This window comes from Homo sapiens, chromosome 17, assembly GCF_000001405.40.
Source record: "Homo sapiens chromosome 17, GRCh38.p14 Primary Assembly".
NCBI classification, from domain to species: domain Eukaryota; kingdom Metazoa; phylum Chordata; class Mammalia; order Primates; family Hominidae; genus Homo; species Homo sapiens.
In genome coordinates this window covers 43,251,300-43,275,104 of record NC_000017.11, presented here as the reverse complement: position 1 = coordinate 43,275,104, position 23,805 = coordinate 43,251,300, and the positions used below count along the sequence as shown (strand labels likewise).

Here is a 23,805-nt window from a genome sequence, read left to right as displayed (position 1 = left end):
ACTCTCGTCTTCTGGTCACCTCTCACTGTGGCCCTTCAGCTCCTAACTCTGTGTGGCCTGGTTTCCCCCAAGGTAATCATAATAGAACAGAGATCATTATGGTAATAGAACAAAGAGTGATGCTACAAACTAATGATTAATAATAGTCAGATATAATCCTATCCGTTTCCTATCTCTAGTAAAACTTTTCTTATTCTAATTATTTTCTTCGCTGTACTGGAACAGCTTGTGCCTTCAGGCTCTTGCCTGGGCACCTGGGTGGCTTGCGGCCCACAAGATAAGATACATTGCGTTGAACTATAATTTATGTTGATTGCTGAATGATTTAGGGCGGGGGGGTGGGCACCCCCTGAAATTCTGCCCTGGAGGAGTGGCCTCACCCTAACCCTGGCCATGGCTAATAATAAGGCCCACCTCTTAGGGCCGTGGAGTGAAATAAGTTTTCCAGGTAATGCGCAGTAGAGCCCTCAGCCCTCCGCTGAAGTTGCGTTAGGAAGGAGGAAGGGAGAGGTAAATGCTGAGCCCGCAGGCGGCAGTCTGTGCCTCGGAGAGAAACTTTATCCCAACCTTGCTGGGGGCCTTGACGCCCACCTTGCCCCAAGAGCACCCCGGCAGCCACCCCTGCCCTCTGGGGTCCTGCCACCCCGAGCCCGACCTTCCCCCTTTTCCCCCGCGCCGGGCCAATAGCCTCCTAACTGCGTCGTGCTCATCACCTTTGCGTCGTTTCTTCGCTCCACAAACGTTTACTGAGCGCCTTCCACACGCCAGGCGCCAGACTCGCGCGGGGAAACAGGGATAAGCACTGAGGAGGGGTCCCAGCCCTCAGCGATGGGATTTCAGAGCGGGAGATAAAGGGTTGCCCAGAAGGGTGGTGAGTGGAATGGCTGATATAAACAACGGGGGCGCGATGAAATACACAGGAGGGCTGCTAGTCACATATGGGGCGGGTGCCGAGGGCCCTTGACTAAGGGAGGCTTCCTGCACGGGTGACACCCAAGCGGAGTCCTGACGACCTGCGTCAGAAGTAGCCGGGCGAGGAGGAGGGGAAAGGAATCCACGTCCCGAGCAGAGAGGCAGCGTTCCCTACACAGCACAGGACACGGTCCGCGCACAGAAGCCGCAGGAGACGCAGGCACAGGGGCTGGGGAGAATCCTTGCTGGGCCCTCGCCGCCTCCCTCTGCCGGGTGTCTGGTGCCAGCCTCCTGCCTGGCAGAGGAACTCCAGCCCCTGCTCCCGGAAGCCCCTCCAGGCCTTCGGCTTCCCTGACTGGGCATGGGCCCCTCGTCCCCTCGTCCCCTCGGGTACGGGGCCGGTCTCCCCGCCCGCGGGCGGCGAAGTAAAGGCCCAGCGCAGCCCGCGCTCCTGCCCTGGGGCCTCGTCTTTCTCCAGGAAAACGTGGACCGCTCTCCGCCGACAGGTCTCTTCCACAGACCCCTGTCGCCTTCGCCCCCGGTCTCTTCCGGTTCTGTCTTTTCGCTGGCTCGATACGAACAAGGAAGTCGCCCCCAGCGGAGCCCCGGCTCCCCCAGGCAGAGGCGGCCCCGGGGGCGGAGTCAACGGCGGAGGCCACGCCCTCTGTGAAAGGGCGGGGCATGCAAATTCGAAATGAAAGCCCGGGAACGCCGGAAGAAGCACGGGTGTAGATTTCCCTTTTCAAGGCGGAGAATAAGAAATCAGCCCGAGAGTGTAAGGGCGTCAATAGCGCTGTGGACGAGACAGAGGGAATGGGGCAAGGAGCGAGGCTGGGGCTCTCACCGCGACTTGAATGTGGATGAGAGTGGGACGGTGACGGCGGGCGCGAAGGCGAGCGCATCGCTTTCTCGGCCTTTTGGCTAAGATCAAGTGTAGTATCTGTTCTTATCAGTTTAATATCTGATACGTCCTCTATCCGAGGACAATATATTAAATGGATTTTTGGAGCAGGGAGATGGAATAGGAGCTTGCTCCGTCCACTCCACGCATCGACCTGGTATTGCAGTACCTCCAGGAACGGTGCACCCCCTCCGGGGATACAACGTGTTTCCTAAAAGTAGAGGGAGGTAAGAGACGGTAGCACCTGCGGGGCGGCTTGCACGCCGAGTGCCTGTGACGCGCCGGCTTGACTTAACTGCTTCCCTGAAGTACCTTGAGGTTCCTGATGTGCGGGCGGTAGACGGTAGGCTTATGCGGCACGCTTTCGTTTCCACCGTGGCTACTGCGCTTTGGGAAGGCCACGACCTCCTCCTTTGGGGAGGTCCTTAGGATCTCAGCTTGGCAGTCGAGTGGGTGGCGACCTTTTAAAGGAATGGGACCCACCCGGAGTTCTTCTTTCTCCTGTCTCTCTCTCTCTCTCTCTCTCTCTCTGTCTCTCCGTCTCTCTGTGTCTGTCTCTGTCTCTCTGTCTCTCTCTCTCTCTCTCTCTCTCCTCTCTCCTGTCTCTCTCTCTCTTTCCCTCTCTCCCTCTCTTTCCCCCCCCCCGCCTCTCCCTCGCTCTTTTGGTTTCCCCCACCCCCTCCCAAGTTCTGGGGTACATGTGCAGGACGTGCAGGTTTGGAACATAGGTACACGTGTGCCACGGTGCTTTGCTGCACCTATCCACCAGTCGTCTAGGTTTGAAGCCCCGCATGCGTTGGCTATTTGTCCTAATGCTCTCTCTCCCCTTGCCCCCCACGCCCCGTCAGGGCCCGGCGTGTGATGTTCCCCTCCCTGTGTCCCATGTGTTCTCGCTGTTCAACTCCCACTTAGGAGCGAGAACATGCGGTGTTTGGTTTTCGCTTCCTGTGTCAGTTTGCTGAGAATGAGGCCTTCCAGCTTCATCCACGTTCCCGCAGAGGTCATGAACTCATCCTTTTTTATGGCTGCGTAGTAATTCCATGCTGTATACGTGCCACACTTTCTTTATCCAGCCTATCATTCATGGGCATTCGAGTTGGTTCCAAGTCTTTGCTATTGTAAATAGTGCTGCAGTAAACATACGTGTCCACGTGTCTTCCTAGTAGGAACTTCTTCCTCTTCAGCCCGCTGAGTAGCTGGCACTTTAAGGCAGGTGCCAACGCACCGGCAGCAAGCTTCCTTTTTTTGCCCGGGAAAAACTGAGGTGCAGGTAGTATAAGCCATTGATCACGGAACGCACAGGAGCCAAAGCTCGAGTCCCAAGCATCGTGGGCTCCACCCCGTCATGCTGGATGCATCTTTAGGCTCCGCTCAAGGCATGTGTATCCTTTACGGGGATCAGCCACCGGCAGTTGCACTTGCGAGCACGATGACAAAACCCTCTGCCGGGCTCTTTGGGGGCGGAGTCAACGGCGGAGGCCCACCGCCCTCTGTGAAAGGGCGGGGGCATGCAAATTCGAAAATGAAAGCCCCGGGAACGCCGGAAGAAGCACGGGTGTAAGATTTCCCTTTTCAAAAGGCGGAGAATAAGAAATCAGCCCGAGAGTGTAAGGGCGTCAATAGCGCTGTGGACGAGACAGAGGGAATGGGGCAAGGAGCGAGGCTGGGGCTCTCACCGCGACTTGAATGTGGATGAGAGTGGGACGGTGACGGCGGGCGCGAAGGCGAGCGCATCGCTTCTCGGCCTTTTGGCTAAGATCAAGTGTAGTATCTGTTCTTATCAGTTTAATATCTGATACGTCCTCTATCCGAGGACAATATATTAAATGGATTTTTGGAGCAGGGAGATGGAATAGGAGCTTGCTCCGTCCACTCCACGCATCGACCTGGTATTGCAGTACCTCCAGGAACGGTGCACCCCCTCCGGGGATACAACGTGTTTCCTAAAAGTAGAGGGAGGTAAGAGACGGTAGCACCTGCGGGGCGGCTTGCACGCCGAGTGCCTGTGACGCGCCGGCTTGACTTAACTGCTTCCCTGAAGTACCTTGAGGTTCCTGATGTGCGGGCGGTAGACGGTAGGCTTATGCGGCACGCTTTCGTTTCCACCGTGGCTACTGCGCTTTGGGAAGGCCATGACCTCCTCCTTTGGGGAGGTCCTTAGGATCTCAGCTTGGCAGTCGAGTGGGTGGCGACCTTTTAAAGGAATGGGACCCACCCGGAGTTCTTCTTTCTCCTGTCTCTCTCTCTCTCTCTCTCTCTCTCTCTCTCTTTCTCTCTCTCTCTCTCTGTCTCTCCGTCTCTCTGTGTCTGTCTCTGTCTCTCTGTCTCTCTCTCTGTCTCTCTCTCTCTCTCTCTCTCTCTCTCTCTCTCCTCTCTCTGTCTCTCTCTCTCTTTCCCTCTCTCTCTCTCTTCCCCCCCCCCCGCCTCTCCCTCGCTCTTTTGGTTTCCCCCACCCCCTCCCAAGTTCTGGGGTACATGTGCAGGACGTGCAGGTTTGGAACATAGGTACACGTGTGCCACGGTGCTTTGCTGCACCTATCCACCAGTCGTCTAGGTTTGAAGCCCCGCATGCGTTGGCTATTTGTCCTAATGCTCTCTCTCCCCTTGCCCCCCACGCCCCGTCAGGGCCCGGCGTGTGATGTTCCCCTCCCTGTGTCCCATGTGTTCTCGCTGTTCAACTCCCACTAAGAGCGAGAACATGCGGTGTTTGGTTTTTCCCTTCCTGTGTCAGTTTGCTGAGAATGAGGCCTTCCAGCCTTCATCCACGTTCCCGCAGAGGTCATGAACTCATCCCTTTTTTTATGGGCTGCTTAGTTTTTCCATGATGTATACCTGCCACTCTTTCTTTATCCAGCCTATCATTCATGGGCATTCCAGTGGGGACCCAGACTTTGCTATTGAAAATAATGCTGCAGTGACAAACCTGTCCACGTGTCTTCCTAAGAGGAACTACTTCCTCTTCAGCCCGCTGAGTAGCTGGCACTTTAAGGCAGGTGCCAACGCACCGGCAGCAAGCTTCCTTTTTTGCCCGGGAAAAACTGAGGTGCAGGTAGTATAAGCCATTGATCACGGAACGCACAGGAGCAGAGCTCGAGTCCAAGCATCGTGGCTCCACCCGTCATGCTGGATGCATTTTTAGGCTCCGCTCTAGGTATGTGTATCCTTTACGGGATCAGCCACCGGTAGTTGCCTTGCGCGCACGATGACAAACCTCTGTCGGCTCTTTTGGGTATAATACCTGTATCTATACGCTGTATACTAACATAAGAAAAAAAAAAAAAAAAGCCAGGGTGAGCGGTGGCTCAAGCCTGTAATCGAAAGCAACACTTTGGGAGGCGGCAGCTGGGCAGATCACCGGAGGTCGGGAGTTGGAGACCAGCCTGAGCAACGTGGAGAAACCCCATCTGTACTAAAAAATACAAAGTTAGCCGGGCGTGGTGGCACATGCCTGTAGTCCCAGCTGCTCGGGAGGCTGAGGCAGGGGAATCGCTTGAACCCGGGAGGCGGAGGTTGCAGAGAGCCTAGATCGCGCCCATTGGACTCCAGGCTGGGTAACAAGAGCGGAACCTCCGTCTGAAAAAAAAAAAAAAAAAAAAAAAATTGGGAGAATTTTGCTCCCACTGCCGTCAAAATCCCACGTGTATTTCACACTTACAGCACAGCTCCATTAGAACTGACCACATTTCCAGGGCTCCCTAGATACCTGTGGCTAGCGGCTGCCATACTACACCGTGCTGGGCTGTAGAATGGGGATGACAAGACAGGGCGGCGGAGATTGTGTTGGCGTGAAGCGAGGGAAACACTCGGCCGCAGGACAAAACTAAAACAGCAAGGGGGCACCGAAAGACTCAGTAGTCCACGTGAATATCCTGATTATGTTGTAGCTGAGATAATGTAGGGTCCACCCCTACCGGGTCTGTGGGTTTTCTCTTCGCGTGTGTGCGGAGACGAGAGATCGAAGAGATAAAGACAGAAGACAAAGAGATAGGAAGAAAGACAGCTGGGCCCGGGGGACCACTGCCACCAAAGCGCGGAGACAGACAGGTAGTGGCCCCGAGTGCCTGGAGGCGCTGCTATTTATTGTAGTCAAGGCAAGGGGGCAGGGTAAGGAGTGCCAGTCATCTCCAATGATCGATAGGTCACGCGAGTCACGTGTCCACTGGACAGGGGGCCTTTCCCTTTGTGGTAGCCGAGGTGGAGAGGGAGGACAGCAAACGTCAGCGTTTCTTCTATGCACTTATCAGAAAGATCGAAGACTGTGGTACTCCTACTAGTTCTGCTACTGCTGTCTTCTAAGAACTTAAAAGGAGGAGCCAGGTGTACAGGCTGAACATGAAAGTGAACAAGGAGCGTGACCACTGAAGCACAGCATCACACTGAACCTTAAATTGGAGCCTCCGGATGACTGCGGGCCGGCCTGGCTAATGTCAGACCTCCCCACAAGAGTGTTGAGCCGAGCGTTCTTCTGTCTCCCCTGGAGAGAGGGGAGATTTCCTTTCCCGGGTCTGCTAAGTAACGGGTGCCTTCCCAGGCACTGGGGCCACCGCTAGACCAAGGCCTGCTAAGTAAACCAGGGCCCTTCCCAGGCACTGGCATTACCGCTAGGCCAAGGAGCCCTCCAGCGGCCCTTCTCTGGGCGTGAATGAGGGCTCACACTCTCGTCTTCTGGTCACCTCTCACTGTGGCCCTTCAGCTCCTAACTCTGTGTGGCCTGGTTTCCCCCAAGGTAATCATAATAGAACAGAGATCATTATGGTAATAGAACAAAGAGTGATGCTACAAACTAATGATTAATAATAGTCAGATATAATCCTATCCGTTTCCTATCTCTAGTAAAACTTTTCTTATTCTAATTATTTTCTTCGCTGTACTGGAACAGCTTGTGCCTTCAGGCTCTTGCCTGGGCACCTGGGTGGCTTGCGGCCCACAAGATAAGATACATTGCGTTGAACTATAATTTATGTTGATTGCTGAATGATTTAGGGCGGGGGGGTGGGCACCCCCTGAAATTCTGCCCTGGAGGAGTGGCCTCACCCTAACCCTGGCCGTGGCTAATAATAAGGCCCACCTCTTAGGGCCGTGGAGTGAAATAAGTTTTCCAGGTAATGCGCAGTAGAGCCCTCAGCCCTCCGCTGAAGTTGCGTTAGGAAGGAGGAAGGGAGAGGTAAATGCTGAGCCCGCAGGCGGCAGTCTGTGCCTCGGAGAGAAACTTTATCCCAACCTTGCTGGGGGCCTTGACGCCCACCTTGCCCCAAGAGCACCCCGGCAGCCACCCCTGCCCTCTGGGGTCCTGCCACCCCGAGCCCGACCTTCCCCCTTTTCCCCCGCGCCGGGCCAATAGCCTCCTAACTGCGTCGTGCTCATCACCTTTGCGTCGTTTCTTCGCTCCACAAACGTTTACTGAGCGCCTTCCACACGCCAGGCGCCAGACTCGCGCGGGGAAACAGGGATAAGCACTGAGGAGGGGTCCCAGCCCTCAGCGATGGGATTTCAGAGCGGGAGATAAAGGGTTGCCCAGAAGGGTGGTGAGTGGAATGGCTGATATAAACAACGGGGGCGCGATGAAATACACAGGAGGGCTGCTAGTCACATATGGGGCGGGTGCCGAGGGCCCTTGACTAAGGGAGGCTTCCTGCACGGGTGACACCCAAGCGGAGTCCTGACGACCTGCGTCAGAAGTAGCCGGGCGAGGAGGAGGGGAAAGGAATCCACGTCCCGAGCAGAGAGGCAGCGTTCCCTACACAGCACAGGACACGGTCCGCGCACAGAAGCCGCAGGAGACGCAGGCACAGGGGCTGGGGAGAATCCTTGCTGGGCCCTCGCCGCCTCCCTCTGCCGGGTGTCTGGTGCCAGCCTCCTGCCTGGCAGAGGAACTCCAGCCCCTGCTCCCGGAAGCCCCTCCAGGCCTTCGGCTTCCCTGACTGGGCATGGGCCCCTCGTCCCCTCGTCCCCTCGGGTACGGGGCCGGTCTCTCCGACAGCGGGTGGCGATGTAAAGGTCCAGCGCAGCCCGCGCTCCTGCATTGGGGCTTGGTCTTTCTTCAGGAAAACGGGGTCCGCTCTCTGTCGACAGTTATCTTCCACAGAACCCGGTCGCATTCGCGCCCGGTCTCTTCCGGGTCTGTTTTTTCGGGGGCTCGATTCGAACAAGGAAGTCGCCCCCAGCGGAGCCCCGGCTCCCCCAGGCAGAGGCGGCCCCGGGGGCGGAGTCAACGGCGGAGGCCACGCCCTCTGTGAAAGGGCGGGGCATGCAAATTCGAAATGAAAGCCCGGGAACGCCGGAAGAAGCACGGGTGTAAGATTTCCCTTTTCAAAGGCGGAGAATAAGAAATCAGCCCGAGAGTGTAAGGGCGTCAATAGCGCTGTGGACGAGACAGAGGGAATGGGGCAAGGAGCGAGGCTGGGGCTCTCACCGCGACTTGAATGTGGATGAGAGTGGGACGGTGACGGCGGGCGCGAAGGCGAGCGCATCGCTTCTCGGCCTTTTGGCTAAGATCAAGTGTAGTATCTGTTCTTATCAGTTTAATATCTGATACGTCCTCTATCCGAGGACAATATATTAAATGGATTTTTGGAGCAGGGAGATGGAATAGGAGCTTGCTCCGTCCACTCCACGCATCGACCTGGTATTGCAGTACCTCCAGGAACGGTGCACCCCCTCCGGGGATACAACGTGTTTCCTAAAAGTAGAGGGAGGTAAGAGACGGTAGCACCTGCGGGGCGGCTTGCACGCCGAGTGCCTGTGACGCGCCGGCTTGACTTAACTGCTTCCCTGAAGTACCTTGAGGTTCCTGATGTGTGGGCGGTAGACGGTAGGCTTATGCGGCACGCTTTCGTTTCCACCGTGGCTACTGCGCTTTGGGAAGGCCATGACCTCCTCCTTTGGGGAGGTCCTTAGGATCTCAGCTTGGCAGTCGAGTGGGTGGCGACCTTTTAAAGGAATGGGACCCACCCGGAGTTCTTCTTTCTCCTGTCTCTCTCTCTCTCTCTCTCTCTCTCTCTCTCTTTCTCTCTCTCTCTCTCTGTCTCTCCGTCTCTCTGTGTCTGTCTCTGTCTCTCTGTCTCTCTCTCTGTCTCTCTCTCTCTCTCTCTCTCTCTCTCTCTCTCCTCTCTCTGTCTCTCTCTCTCTTTCCCTCTCTCTCTCTCTTCCCCCCCCCCGCCTCTCCCTCGCTCTTTTGGTTTCCCCCACCCCCTCCCAAGTTCTGGGGTACATGTGCAGGACGTGCAGGTTTGGAACATAGGTACACGTGTGCCACGGTGCTTTGCTGCACCTATCCACCAGTCGTCTAGGTTTGAAGCCCCGCATGCGTTGGCTATTTGTCCTAATGCTCTCTCTCCCCTTGCCCCCCACGCCCCGTCAGGGCCCGGCGTGTGATGTTCCCCTCCCTGTGTCCCATGTGTTCTCGCTGTTCAACTCCCACTTAGGAGCGAGAACATGCGGTGTTTGGTTTTCGCTTCCTGTGTCAGTTTGCTGAGAATGAGGCCTTCCAGCTTCATCCACGTTCCCGCAGAGGTCATGAACTCATCCTTTTTTATGGCTGCGTAGTAATTCCATGCTGTATACGTGCCACACTTTCTTTATCCAGCCTATCATTCATGGGCATTCGAGTTGGTTCCAAGTCTTTGCTATTGTAAATAGTGCTGCAGTAAACATACGTGTCCACGTGTCTTCCTAGTAGGAACTTCTTCCTCTTCAGCCCGCTGAGTAGCTGGCACTTTAAGGCAGGTGCCAACGCACCGGCAGCAAGCTTCCTTTTTTGCCCGGGAAAAACTGAGGTGCAGGTAGTATAAGCCATTGATCACGGAACGCACAGGAGCAGAGCTCGAGTCCAAGCATCGTGGCTCCACCCGTCATGCTGGATGCATCTTTAGGCTCCGCTCTAGGTATGTGTATCCTTTACGGGATCAGCCACCGGCAGTTGCCTTGCGAGCACGATGACAAACCTCTGCCGGCTCTTTTGGGTCTCATCCCTGTATCTATACGTTGCATCCCAACATAAAGACCGGAATGTTCCTTTCGCTGACCCAGTCTCTCACCCTTTCCAAACTCCAGAAATCTTGTCTGTCCTCGGAAGAACTCCCCCTGCTTCTTTCTCTAAAGGCTGTCTTCAGGCCGGGCACAGTGGGAGGATCGCTTGAGCCCAGAAGGCCGCAGTGAGGTGAGATCGCGCCATTGCACTGCAGCCCCCGGCGGCAGAGCCGGAGCCCCGTCTCGAAACAAACAAACAAAAACCAACCAACCAACCAACCAACCAACAAACAAACACAGACAAAGAAAGAAAGAGCCCAGGCAACCTAGTGAAAACCTGTTCGGGCTGGGGCGTACCTGTACCCCAGCTGTTCCGGAGGCTGAGGCCAGGAGGATGGGTGGACGCTGGGAGGTGGATGCTGCAGTGAGCAGTGATTGCACCACTGCACTCCAGCCTGGGTGACAGAGCCAGACCCCGTCCCAAATAAATAAACATAAAAATAAAGGAACCAGTTTGTAGAAAGCGGGGAGAGGGTCCCATTGAACTTCAAGCCTTCGAGCAACAGCTGTGGCTGGACAGGTTTGGACCAGCAGGCTGGAGCAGTCGCCATCTTGGCAGGGATCATTGACCCTGATCTATCGTCGGGAGGAGGAAGAGCTGATCTTACGCAGGGAGGGCAGGTGGACTATGTGTGGACTCTGGTGACCTGTTTGGGTGCCAGGTGTTACTCCCAGGGCCACCCGTAACTGTGAATGTGCAGGAACCCTGACTTGAGAAGGGCCTGGCCACGGGGGGCTTAGGCCCCTGGGGAATGAGAGTTTGGTTCCCGGTACCCAGGGAAACCACCAGCATCGGCAGAGGTGATAGCTGAGGAGGAGCGGGGATTTGGACGAGAGACACAGGATGAGTACCGGGGGGCAGCCCCGTGATCAACAACTGCTGCAAGAGGGGCCGTTTGTTCGACTCGCTAGTCTTCTGCGGCTCTATGCGGTACTAAAGAGCAGAAGACAGAAGATACAAAAACCACAAAAAGTAGCCGGGCGTGGTGCTGCCCGTCAATAATCCCAGCTACTCGGGAGGCTGAGACAGGAGAATCGCTTGAACCCGGGAGGCGGAAGTTTCAGCGAGCCGAGATCACGCCGTTGCAGTCCAACCTGAGCGTCCGAGCGAGACTCTATCTCAGAAAATAAAGACAGAATGAAAGAGCCCGGCGCGGCTGTACGCCTGTAATCCCAGCGCTTTGGGAGGCCGAGGCGGCGGATCGCCTGAGGTCAGGAGCTCGAGACCAGCCTGGCCGACATGGCGAAACCCCCTAAAAATACAAAAATTAGCCGGGCGTGGTGCGCTGCGCCTGTAATCCCAGCTACCCAGGAGGCTGAGGCAGGAGAATCGCTGGAACCCGGGAGGTAGAGGCTGCAGTGAGCCGAGAATGCGCCACTGCACTCCAGCCTGGGCGACAGAGCGAGAGTTTGTCTGGAAAAAAAAAAAAAAAAAGCCAGGGTGAGCGGTGCTCAAGCCTGTAATCGCAAGCAACACTTTGGGAGGCGGCAGCTGGGCAGATCTCTCCCAAGAAGGGAGTTGGAGACCAGCCTGAGCAACGGGGGGGGAGGGGAGGGAGGTACTAAAAATACAAAAATTAGCCGGGCGTGGTGGCCTGCGCCTGTAATCCCAGCTACCCAGGAGGCTGAGGCAGGAGAATCGCTGGAACCCGGGAGGTAGAGGCTGCAGTGAGCCGAGATCGCGCCACTGCACTCCAGCCTGGGCGACAGAGCGAGAGTTTGTCTGGAAAAAAAAAAAAAAAAGCCAGGGTGAGCGGTGGCTCAAGCCTGTAATCGCAAGCAACACTTTGGGAGGCGGCAGCTGGGCAGATCACCGGAGGTCGGGAGTTGGAGACCAGCCTGAGCAACGTGGAGAAACCCCATCTGTACTAAAAATACAAAGTTAGCCGGGCGTGGTGGCACATGCCTGTAGTCCCAGCTGCTCGGGAGGCTGAGGCAGGGGAATCGCTTGAACCCGGGAGGCGGAGGTTGCAGAGAGCCTAGATCGCGCCATTGGACTCCAGGCTGGGTAACAAGAGCGGAACCTCCGTCTGAAAAAAAAAAAAAAAAAAAAAAATTGGGAGAATTTTGCTCCCACTGCCGTCAAAATCCCACGTGTATTTCACACTTACAGCACAGCTCCATTAGAACTGACCACATTTCCAGGGCTCCCTAGATACCTGTGGCTAGCGGCTGCCATACTACACCGTGCTGGGCTGTAGAATGGGGATGACAAGACAGGGCGGCGGAGATTGTGTTGGCGTGAAGCGAGGGAAACACTCGGCCGCAGGACAAAACTAAAACAGCAAGGGGGCACCGAAAGACTCAGTAGTCCACGTGAATATCCTGATTATGTTGTAGCTGAGATAATGTAGGGTCCACCCCTACCGGGTCTGTGGGTTTTCTCTTCGCGTGTGTGCGGAGACGAGAGATCGAAGAGATAAAGACAGAAGACAAAGAGATAGGAAGAAAGACAGCTGGGCCCGGGGGACCACTGCCACCAAAGCGCGGAGACAGACAGGTAGTGGCCCCGAGTGCCTGGAGGCGCTGCTATTTATTGTAGTCAAGGCAAGGGGGCAGGGTAAGGAGTGCCAGTCATCTCCAATGATCGATAGGTCACGCGAGTCACGTGTCCACTGGACAGGGGGCCTTTCCCTTTGTGGTAGCCGAGGTGGAGAGGGAGGACAGCAAACGTCAGCGTTTCTTCTATGCACTTATCAGAAAGATCGAAGACTGTGTACTCCTACTAGTTCTGCTACTGCTGTCTTCTAAGAACTTAAAAGGAGGAGCCAGGTGTACAGGCTGAACATGAAAGTGAACAAGGAGCGTGACCACTGAAGCACAGCATCACAGGGAGACAGACGTTGGAGCCTCCGGATGACTGCGGGCCGGCCTGGCTAATGTCAGACCTCCCACAAGAGGTGGTGGAGCGGAGCGTTCTCTGTCTCCCCTGGAGAGAGGGAGATTCCCTTTCCGGGTCTGCTAAGTAACGGTGCTTCCCAGCACTGGGGCCACCGCTAGACCAAGGCCTGCTAAGTAACCAGGCGCTTCCCAGGCACTGGCATTACCGCTAGGCCAAGGAGCCCTCCAGCGGCCCTTCTCTGGGCGTGAATGAGGGCTCACACTCTCGTCTTCTGGTCACCTCTCACTGTGGCCCTTCAGCTCCTAACTCTGTGTGGCCTGGTTTCCCCCAAGGTAATCATAATAGAACAGAGATCATTATGGTAATAGAACAAAGAGTGATGCTACAAACTAATGATTAATAATAGTCAGATATAATCCTATCCGTTTCCTATCTCTAGTAAAACTTTTCTTATTCTAATTATTTTCTTCGCTGTACTGGAACAGCTTGTCCTTCAGCTCTTGCCTGGGCACCTGGGTGGCTTGCGGCCCACAAGATAAGATACATTGCGTTGAACTATAATTTATGTTGATTGCTGAATGATTTAGGGCGCGGGTTGGCACCCCCTGAAATTCTGCCCTGGAGGAGTGCCTCACCCTAACCCTGGCATGGCTAATAATAAGGCCCACCTCTTAGGGCCGTGGAGTGAAATAAGTTTTCCAGGTAATGCGCAGTAGAGCCCTCAGCCCTCCGCTGAAGTTGCGTTAGGAAGGAGGAAGGGAGAGGTAAATGCTGAGCCCAGGCGGCAGTCTGTGCCTCGGAGAGAAACTTTATCCCAACCTTGCTGGGGCCTTGACGCCCACCTTGCCCCAAGAGCACCCCTGCAGCCACCCCATGCCTCTGGGGTCCTGCCACCCCGAGCCCGACCTTCCCCTTTTTCCCCCGCGCCGGGCCAATAGCCTCCTAACTGCGTCGTGCTCATCACCTTTGCGTCGTTTCTTCGCTCCACAAACGTTTACTGAGCGCCTTCCACAGGGGGCCTGGCCACGGGGGGGCTTTAGGCCCCTGGGGAATGAGAGTTTTGGTTCCCGGTACCCAGGGAAACCACCAGCATCGGCAGAGGTGATAGCTGAGGAGGAGCGGGGATTTGGACGAGAGACACAGGATGAGTACCGGGGGGCAGCCCCGTGATCAACAACTGCTGCAAGAGGGGCCGTTTGTTCGACTCGCTAGTCTTCTGCGGCTCTATGCGGTACTAAAGAGCAGAAGACAGAAGATACAAAAACCACAAAAAGTAGCCGGGCGTGGTGCTGCCCGTCAATAATCCCAGCTACTCGGGAGGCTGAGACAGGAGAATCGCTTGAACCCGGGAGGCGGAAGTTTCAGCGAGCCGAGATCACGCCGTTGCAGTCCAACCTGAGCGTCCGAGCGAGACTCTATCTCAGAAAATAAAGACAGAATGAAAGAGCCCGGCGCGGTGGCTTACGCCTGTAATCCCAGCGCTTTGGGAGGCCGAGGCGGGCGGATCGCCTGAGGTCAGGAGCTCGAGACCAGCCTGGCCGACATGGCGAAACCCCCTAAAAATACAAAAATTAGCCGGGCGTGGTGGCCTGCGCCTGTAATCCCAGCTACCCAGGAGGCTGAGGCAGGAGAATCGCTGGAACCCGGGAGGTAGAGGCTGCAGTGAGCCGAGATCGCGCCACTGCACTCCAGCCTGGGCGACAGAGCGAGAGTTTGTCTGGAAAAAAAAAAAAAAAAAGCCAGGGTGAGCGGTGGCTCAAGCCTGTAATCGAAAGCAACACTTTGGGAGGCGGCAGCTGGGCAGATCACCGGAGGTCGGGAGTTGGAGACCAGCCTGAGCAACGTGGAGAAACCCCATCTGTACTAAAAATACAAAGTTAGCCGGGCGTGGTGGCACATGCCTGTAGTCCCAGCTGCTCGGGAGGCTGAGGCAGGGGAATCGCTTGAACCCGGGAGGCGGAGGTTGCAGAGAGCCTAGATCGCGCCATTGGACTCCAGGCTGGGTAACAAGAGCGGAACCTCCGTCTGAAAAAAAAAAAAAAAAAAAAAAAATTGGGAGAATTTTGCTCCCACTGCCGTCAAAATCCCACGTGTATTTCACACTTACAGCACAGCTCCATTAGAACTGACCACATTTCCAGGGCTCCCTAGATACCTGTGGCTAGCGGCTGCCATACTACACCGTGCTGGGCTGTAGAATGGGGATGACAAGACAGGGCGGCGGAGATTGTGTTGGCGTGAAGCGAGGGAAACACTCGGCCGCAGGACAAAACTAAAACAGCAAGGGGGCACCGAAAGACTCAGTAGTCCACGTGAATATCCTGATTATGTTGTAGCTGAGATAATGTAGGGTCCACCCTACCGGGTCTGTGGGTTTTCTCTTCGCGTGTGTGCGGAGACGAGAGATCGAAGAGATAAAGACAGAAGACAAAGAGATAGGAAGAAAGACAGCTGGGCCCGGGGGACCACTGCCACCAAAGCGCGGAGACAGACAGGTAGTGCCCCGAGTGCCTGGAGGGCTGCTATTTATTGTAGTCAAGGCAAGGGGGCAGGTAAGGTATGCCAGTCATCTCCAATGATCGTGCTGCCCGTCAATAATCCCAGCTACTCGGGAGGCTGAGACAGGAGAATCGCTTGAACCCGGGAGGCGGAAGTTTCAGCGAGCCGAGATCACGCCGTTGCAGTCCAACCTGAGCGTCCGAGCGAGACTCTATCTCAGAAAATAAAGACAGAATGAAAGAGCCCGGCGCGGTGGCTTACGCCTGTAATCCCAGCGCTTTGGGAGGCCGAGGCGGGCGGATCGCCTGAGGTCAGGAGCTCGAGACCAGCCTGGCCGACATGGCGAAACCCCCTAAAAATACAAAAATTAGCCGGGCGTGGTGGCCTGCGCCTGTAATCCCAGCTACCCAGGAGGCTGAGGCAGGAGAATCGCTGGAACCCGGGAGGTAGAGGCTGCAGTGAGCCGAGATCGCGCCACTGCACTCCAGCCTGGGCGACAGAGCGAGAGTTTGTCTGGAAAAAAAAAAAAAAAAAGCCAGGGTGAGCGGTGGCTCAAGCCTGTAATCGCAAGCAACACTTTGGGAGGCGGCAGCTGGGCAGATCACCGGAGGTCGGGAGTTGGAGACCAGCCTGAGCAACGTGGAGAAACCCCATCTGTACTAAAAATACAAAGTTAGCCGGGCGTGGTGGCACATGCCTGTAGTCCCAGCTGCTCGGGAGGCTGAGGCAGGGGAATCGCTTGAACCCGGGAGGCGGAGGTTGCAGAGAGCCTAGATCGCGCCACTGGACTCCAGGCTGGGTAACAAGAGCGGAACCTCCGTCTGGAAAAAAAAAAAAAAAAGCCAGGGTGAGCGGTGGCTCAAGCCTGTAATCGCAAGCAACACTTTGGGAGGCGGCAGCTGGGCAGATCACCGGAGGTCGGGAGTTGGAGACCAGCCTGAGCAACGTGGAGAAACCCCATCTGTACTAAAAATACAAAGTTAGCCGGGCGTGGTGGCACATGCCTGTAGTCCCAGCTGCTCGGGAGGCTGAGGCAGGGGAATCGCTTGAACCCGGGAGGCGGAGGTTGCAGAGAGCCTAGATCGCGCCATTGGACTCCAGGCTGGGTAACAAGAGCGGAACCTCCGTCTGAAAAAAAAAAAAAAAAAAAAAAATTGGGAGAATTTTGCTCCCACTGCCGTCAAAATCCCACGTGTATTTCACACTTACAGCACAGCTCCATTAGAACTGACCACATTTCCAGGGCTCCCTAGATACCTGTGGCTAGCGGCTGCCATACTACACCGTGCTGGGCTGTAGAATGGGGATGACAAGACAGGGCGGCGGAGATTGTGTTGGCGTGAAGCGAGGGAAACACTCGGCCGCAGGACAAAACTAAAACAGCAAGGGGGCACCGAAAGACTCAGTAGTCCACGTGAATATCCTGATTATGTTGTAGCTGAGATAATGTAGGGTCCACCCCTACCGGGTCTGTGGGTTTTCTCTTCGCGTGTGTGCGGAGACGAGAGATCGAAGAGATAAAGACAGAAGACAAAGAGATAGGAAGAAAGACAGCTGGGCCCGGGGGACCACTGCCACCAAAGCGCGGAGACAGACAGGTAGTGGCCCCGAGTGCCTGGAGGCGCTGCTATTTATTGTAGTCAAGGCAAGGGGGCAGGGTAAGGAGTGCCAGTCATCTCCAATGATCGATAGGTCACGCGAGTCACGTGTCCACTGGACAGGGGGCCTTTCCCTTTGTGGTAGCCGAGGTGGAGAGGGAGGACAGCAAACGTCAGCGTTTCTTCTATGCACTTATCAGAAAGATCGAAGACTGTGGTACTCCTACTAGTTCTGCTACTGCTGTCTTCTAAGAACTTAAAAGGAGGAGCCAGGTGTACAGGCTGAACATGAAAGTGAACAAGGAGCGTGACCACTGAAGCACAGCATCACAGGGAGACAGACGTTGGAGCCTCCGGATGACTGCGGGCCGGCCTGGCTAATGTCAGACCTCCCACAAGAGGTGGTGGAGCGGAGCGTTCTCTGTCTCCCCTGGAGAGAGGGAGATTCCCTTTCCGGGTCTGCTAAGTAACGGGTGCCTTCCCAGGCACTGGGGCCACGCTAGACCAAGGCCTGCTAAGTAACCAGGGCCTTCCCAGGCACTGGCATTACCGCTAGGCCAAGGAGCCCTCCAGCGGCCCTTCTCTGGGCGTGAATGAGGGCTCACACTCTCGTCTTCTGGTCACCTCTCACTGTGGCCCTTCAGCTCCTAACTCTGTGTGGCCTGGTTTCCCCCAAGGTAATCATAATAGAACAGAGATCATTATGGTAATAGAACAAAGAGTGATGCTACAAACTAATGATTAATAATAGTCAGATATAATCCTATCCGTTTTCCTATCTCTAGTAAAACTTTTCTTATTCTAATTATTTTCTTCGCTGTACTGGAACAGCTTGTGCCTTCAGGTCTTGCTGGGCACCTGGGTGGCTTGCGGCCACAAGATAAGATACATTGCGTTGAACTATAATTTATGTTGATTGCTGAATGATTTAGGGCGGGGGGGTGGCACCCCTGAAATTCTGCCCTGGAGGAGTGGCCTCACCCTAACCCTGGCCGTGGTAATAATAAGGCCACCTCTTAGGGCGTGGAGTGAAATAAGTTTTCCAGGTAATGCGCAGTAGAGCCCTCAGCCCTCCGCTGAAGTTGCGTTGGAAGGAGGAAGGGAGAGGTAAATGCTGAGCCCGCAGGGCCAGATCTGTGCCTCGGAGAAAACTTTATCCCACCTTGCTGGGGGGTCTTATGCGGCTCTATGCGGTAGTAAAGAGCAGAAGACAGAAGATACAAAAACCACAAAAAGTAGCCGGGCGTGGTGCTGCCCGTCAATAATCCCAGCTACTCGGGAGGCTGAGACAGGAGAATCGCTTGAACCCGGGAGGCGGAAGTTTCAGCGAGCCGAGATCACGCCGTTGCAGTCCAACCTGAGCGTCCGAGCGAGACTCTATCTCAGAAAATAAAGACAGAATGAAAGAGCCCGGCGCGGTGGCTTACGCCTGTAATCCCAGCGCTTTGGGAGGCCGAGGCGGGCGGATCGCCTGAGGTCAGGAGCTCGAGACCAGCCTGGCCGACATGGCGAAACCCCCTAAAAATACAAAAATTAGCCGGGCGTGGTGGCCTGCGCCTGTAATCCCAGCTACCCAGGAGGCTGAGGCAGGAGAATCGCTGGAACCCGGGAGGTAGAGGCTGCAGTGAGCCGAGATCGCGCCACTGCACTCCAGCCTGGGCGACAGAGCGAGAGTTTGTCTGGAAAAAAAAAAAAAAAAAGCCAGGGTGAGCGGTGGCTCAAGCCTGTAATCGCAAGCAACACTTTGGGAGGCGGCAGCTGGGCAGATCACCGGAGGTCGGGAGTTGGAGACCAGCCTGAGCAACGTGGAGAAACCCCATCTGTACTAAAAATACAAAGTTAGCCGGGCGTGGTGGCACATGCCTGTAGTCCCAGCTGCTCGGGAGGCTGAGGCAGGGGAATCGCTTGAACCCGGGAGGCGGAGGTTGCAGAGAGCCTAGATCGCGCCACTGGACTCCAGGCTGGGTAACAAGAGCGGAACCTCCGTCTGAAAAAAAAAAAAAAAAAAAAAAATTGGGAGAATTTTGCTCCCACTGCCGTCAAAATCCCACGTGTATTTCACACTTACAGCACAGCTCCATTAGAACTGACCACATTTCCAGGGCTCCCTAGATACCTGTGGCTAGCGGCTGCCATACTACACCGTGCTGGGCTGTAGAATGGGGATGACAAGACAGGGCGGCGGAGATTGTGTTGGCGTGAAGCGAGGGAAACACTCGGCCGCAGGACAAAACTAAAACAGCAAGGGGGCACCGAAAGACTCAGTAGTCCACGTGAATATCCTGATTATGTTGTAGCTGAGATAATGTAGGGTCCACCCCTACCGGGTCTGTGGGTTTTCTCTTCGCGTGTGTGCGGAGACGAGAGATCGAAGAGATAAAGACAGAAGACAAAGAGATAGGAAGAAAGACAGCTGGGCCCGGGGGACCACTGCCACCAAAGCGCGGAGACAGACAGGTAGTGGCCCCGAGTGCCTGGAGGCGCTGCTATTTATTGTAGTCAAGGCAAGGGGGCAGGGTAAGGAGTGCCAGTCATCTCCAATGATCGATAGGTCACGCGAGTCACGTGTGCACTGGACAGGGGGCCTTTCCCTTTGTGGTAGCCGAGGTGGAGAGGGAGGACAGCAAACGTCAGCGCAAGCTGAAACAACTTATCAGAAAGATCGAAGACTGTGGTACTCCTACTAGTATGCTACTCGTACCTGTACCCCAGCTGTTCCGGAGCTGAGGCCAGGAGGATGGGTGGACGCTGGGAGGTGGATGCTGCTGTGAGCAGTGATTGCACCACTGCACTCCAGCCTGGGTGACAGAGCCAGACCCCGTCCCAAATAAATAAACATAAAAATAAAGGAACCAGTTTGTAGAAAGCGGGAGAGGGTCCCATTGAACTTCAAGCCTTCGAGCAACAGCTGTGGCTGGACAGGTTGGACCAGCAGGCTGGAGCAGTCGCCATCTTGGCAGGGATCATTGACCCTGATCTATCGTCGGGAGGAGGAAGAGCTGATCTTACGCAGGGAGGGCAGGTGGACTATGTGTGGACTCTGGTGACCTGTTTGGGTGCCAGGTGTTACTCCCAGGGCCACCCGTAACTGTGAATGTGCAGGAACCCTGACTTGAGAAGGGCCTGGCCACGGGGGGGCTTAGGGCCCCTGGGGAATGAGAGTTTGGTTCCCGGTACCCAGGGAAACCACCAGCATCGGCAGAGGTGATAGCTGAGGAGGAGCGGGGATTTGGACGAGAGACACAGGATGAGTACCGGGGGGCAGCCCCGTGATCAACAACTGCTGCAAGAGGGGCCGTTTGTTCGACTCGCTAGTCTTCTGCGGCTCTATGCGGTACTAAAGAGCAGAAGACAGAAGATACAAAAACCACAAAAAGTAGCCGGGCGTGGTGCTGCCCGTCAATAATCCCAGCTACTCGGGAGGCTGAGACAGGAGAATCGCTTGAACCCGGGAGGCGGAAGTTTCAGCGAGCCGAGATCACGCCGTTGCAGTCCAACCTGAGCGTCCGAGCGAGACTCTATCTCAGAAAATAAAGACAGAATGAAAGAGCCCGGCGCGGTGGCTTACGCCTGTAATCCCAGCGCTTTGGGAGGCCGAGGCGGGCGGATCGCCTGAGGTCAGGAGCTCGAGACCAGCCTGGCCGACATGGCGAAACCCCCTAAAAATACAAAAATTAGCCGGGCGTGGTGGCCTGCGCCTGTAATCCCAGCTACCCAGGAGGCTGAGGCAGGAGAATCGCTGGAACCCGGGAGGTAGAGGCTGCAGTGAGCCGAGATCGCGCCACTGCACTCCAGCCTGGGCGACAGAGCGAGAGTTTGTCTGGAAAAAAAAAAAAAAAAGCCAGGGTGAGCGGTGGCTCAAGCCTGTAATCGCAAGCAACACTTTGGGAGGCGGCAGCTGGGCAGATCACCGGAGGTCGGGAGTTGGAGACCAGCCTGAGCAACGTGGAGAAACCCCATCTGTACTAAAAATACAAAGTTAGCCGGGCGTGGTGGCACATGCCTGTAGTCCCAGCTGCTCGGGAGGCTGAGGCAGGGGAATCGCTTGAACCCGGGAGGCGGAGGTTGCAGAGAGCCTAGATCGCGCCATTGGACTCCAGGCTGGGTAACAAGAGCGGAACCTCCGTCTGAAAAAAAAAAAAAAAAAAAAAAAAAATTGGGAGAATTTTGCTCCCACTGCCGTCAAAATCCCACGTGTATTTCACACTTACAGCACAGCTCCATTAGAACTGACCACATTTCCAGGGCTCCCTAGATACCTGTGGCTAGCGGCTGCCATACTACACCGTGCTGGGCTGTAGAATGGGGATGACAAGACAGGGCGGCGGAGATTGTGTTGGCGTGAAGCGAGGGAAACACTCGGCCGCAGGACAAAACTAAAACAGCAAGGGGGCACCGAAAGACTCAGTAGTCCACGTGAATATCCTGATTATGTTGTAGCTGAGATAATGTAGGGTCCACCCCTACCGGGTCTGTGGGTTTTCTCTTCGCGTGTGTGCGGAGACGAGAGATCGAAGAGATAAAGACAGAAGACAAAGAGATAGGAAGAAAGACAGCTGGGCCCGGGGGACCACTGCCACCAAAGCGCGGAGACAGACAGGTAGTGGCCCCGAGTGCCTGGAGGCGCTGCTATTTATTGTAGTCAAGGCAAGGGGGCAGGGTAAGGAGTGCCAGTCATCTCCAATGATCGATAGGTCACGCGAGTCACGTGTGCACTGGACAGGGGGCCTTTCCCTTTGTGGTAGCCGAGGTGGAGAGGGAGGACAGCAAACGTCAGCGTTTCTTCTATGCACTTATCAGAAAGATCGAAGACTGTGGTACTCCTACTAGTTCTGCTACTGCTGTCTTCTAAGAACTTAAAAGGAGGAGCCAGGTGTACAGGCTGAACATGAAAGTGAACAAGGAGCGTGACCACTGAAGCACAGCATCACAGGGAGACAGACGTTGGAGCCTCCGGATGACTGCGGGCCGGCCTGGCTAATGTCAGACCTCCCACAAGAGGTGGTGGAGCGGAGCGTTCTCTGTCTCCCCTGGAGAGAGGGAGATTCCCTTTCCGGGTCTGCTAAGTAACGGGTGCCTTCCCAGGCACTGGGGCCACCGCTAGACCAAGGCCTGCTAAGTAACCAGGGCCTTCCCAGGCACTGGCATTACCGCTAGGCCAAGGAGCCCTCCAGCGGCCCTTCTCTGGGCGTGAATGAGGGCTCACACTCTCGTCTTCTGGTCACCTCTCACTGTGGCCCTTCAGCTCCTAACTCTGTGTGGCCTGGTTTCCCCCAAGGTAATCATAATAGAACAGAGATCATTATGGTAATAGAACAAAGAGTGATGCTACAAACTAATGATTAATAATAGTCAGATATAATCCTATCCGTTTCCTATCTCTAGTAAAACTTTTCTTATTCTAATTATTTTCTTCGCTGTACTGGAACAGCTTGTGCCTTCAGGCTCTTGCCTGGGCACCTGGGTGGCTTGCGGCCCACAAGATAAGATACATTGCGTTGAACTATAATTTATGTTGATTGCTGAATGATTTAGGGCGGGGGGGTGGGCACCCCCTGAAATTCTGCCCTGGAGGAGTGGCCTCACCCTAACCCTGGCCGTGGCTAATAATAAGGCCCACCTCTTAGGGCCGTGGAGTGAAATAAGTTTTCCAGGTAATGCGCAGTAGAGCCCCTCAGCCCTCCGCTGAAGTTGCGTTAGGGAAGGACGGGAGAGGTAAATGCTGAGCCCGCAGGCGCCAGTCTGTGCTCGGAAAGAACTTTATCCAGCTTGCTGGGGGTTCCCCCGTCCCCTCGGGTACGGGGCCCGGTTACTTACCCGGGCGGCGAAGTAAAAGGCCCACGCAGCCCGCGCTCCTGCCTGGGGCCTCGTCTTTCTCCAGGAAAACGTGGACCGCTCTCCGCCGACAGGTCTCTTCCACAGACCCCTGTCGCCTTCGCCCCCGGTCTCTTCCGGTTCTGTCTTTTCGCTGGCTCGATACGAACAAGGAAGTCGCCCCCAGCGGAGCCCCGGCTCCCCCAGGCAGAGGCGGCCCCGGGGGCGGAGTCAACGGCGGAGGCCACGCCCTCTGTGAAAGGGCGGGGCATGCAAATTCGAAATGAAAGCCCGGGAACGCCGGAAGAAGCACGGGTGTAAGATTTCCCTTTTCAAAGGCGGAGAATAAGAAATCAGCCCGAGAGTGTAAGGGCGTCAATAGCGCTGTGGACGAGACAGAGGGAATGGGGCAAGGAGCGAGGCTGGGGCTCTCACCGCGACTTGAATGTGGATGAGAGTGGGACGGTGACGGCGGGCGCGAAGGCGAGCGCATCGCTTCTCGGCCTTTTGGCTAAGATCAAGTGTAGTATCTGTTCTTATCAGTTTAATATCTGATACGTCCTCTATCCGAGGACAATATATTAAATGGATTTTTGGAGCAGGGAGATGGAATAGGAGCTTGCTCCGTCCACTCCACGCATCGACCTGGTATTGCAGTACCTCCAGGAACGGTGCACCCCCTCCGGGGATACAACGTGTTTCCTAAAAGTAGAGGGAGGTAAGAGACGGTAGCACCTGCGGGGCGGCTTGCACGCCGAGTGCCTGTGACGCGCCGGCTTGACTTAACTGCTTCCCTGAAGTACCGTGAGGTTCCTGATGTGCGGGCGGTAGACGGTAGGCTTATGTGGCACGCTTTCGTTTCCACCGTGGCTACTGCGCTTTGGGAAGGCCACGACCTCCTCCTTTGGGGAGGTCCTTAGGATCTCAGCTTGGCAGTCGAGTGGGTGGCGACCTTTTAAAGGAATGGGACCCACCCGGAGTTCTTCTTTCTCCTGTCTCTCTCTCTCTCTCTCTCTTTCTCTCTCTCTCTCTCTGTCTCTCCGTCTCTCTGTGTCTGTCTCTGTCTCTCTGTCTCTCTCTCTGTCTCTCTCTCTCTCTCTCTCTCTCTCACTCTCTCTCTCCTCTCTCTGTCTCTCTCTCTCTTTCCCTCTCTCTCTCTCTTTCCCCCCCCCGCCTCTCCCTCGCTCTTTTGGTTTCCCCCACCCCCTCCC

The 23,805-nt window shown here is 55.6% G+C and overlaps 4 non-coding genes across 4 annotated transcripts; all 4 read left to right on the top strand.

The window, feature by feature from the left end:
- The first annotated feature begins 1,812 nt into the window (after positions 1 to 1,812).
- On the top strand, positions 1,813 to 2,004 carry LOC124904146 (U2 spliceosomal RNA). Its single transcript, XR_007066019.1, has one exon. It is a non-coding gene; the product is annotated as a U2 spliceosomal RNA (small nuclear RNA).
- A 1,541-nt stretch (positions 2,005 to 3,545) lies between these two features.
- LOC124904140 (U2 spliceosomal RNA) lies at positions 3,546 to 3,736 on the top strand. Its single transcript, XR_007066013.1, has one exon. It is a non-coding gene; the product is annotated as a U2 spliceosomal RNA (small nuclear RNA).
- Positions 3,737 to 8,281: 4,545 nt separating this feature from the next.
- On the top strand, positions 8,282 to 8,472 carry LOC124904139 (U2 spliceosomal RNA). The gene has a single exon (XR_007066012.1). It is a non-coding gene; the product is annotated as a U2 spliceosomal RNA (small nuclear RNA).
- Positions 8,473 to 23,085: 14,613 nt separating this feature from the next.
- On the top strand, positions 23,086 to 23,276 carry LOC124904138 (U2 spliceosomal RNA). The gene has a single exon (XR_007066011.1). It is a non-coding gene; the product is annotated as a U2 spliceosomal RNA (small nuclear RNA).
- The last annotated feature ends 529 nt before the right edge of the window (positions 23,277 to 23,805 follow it).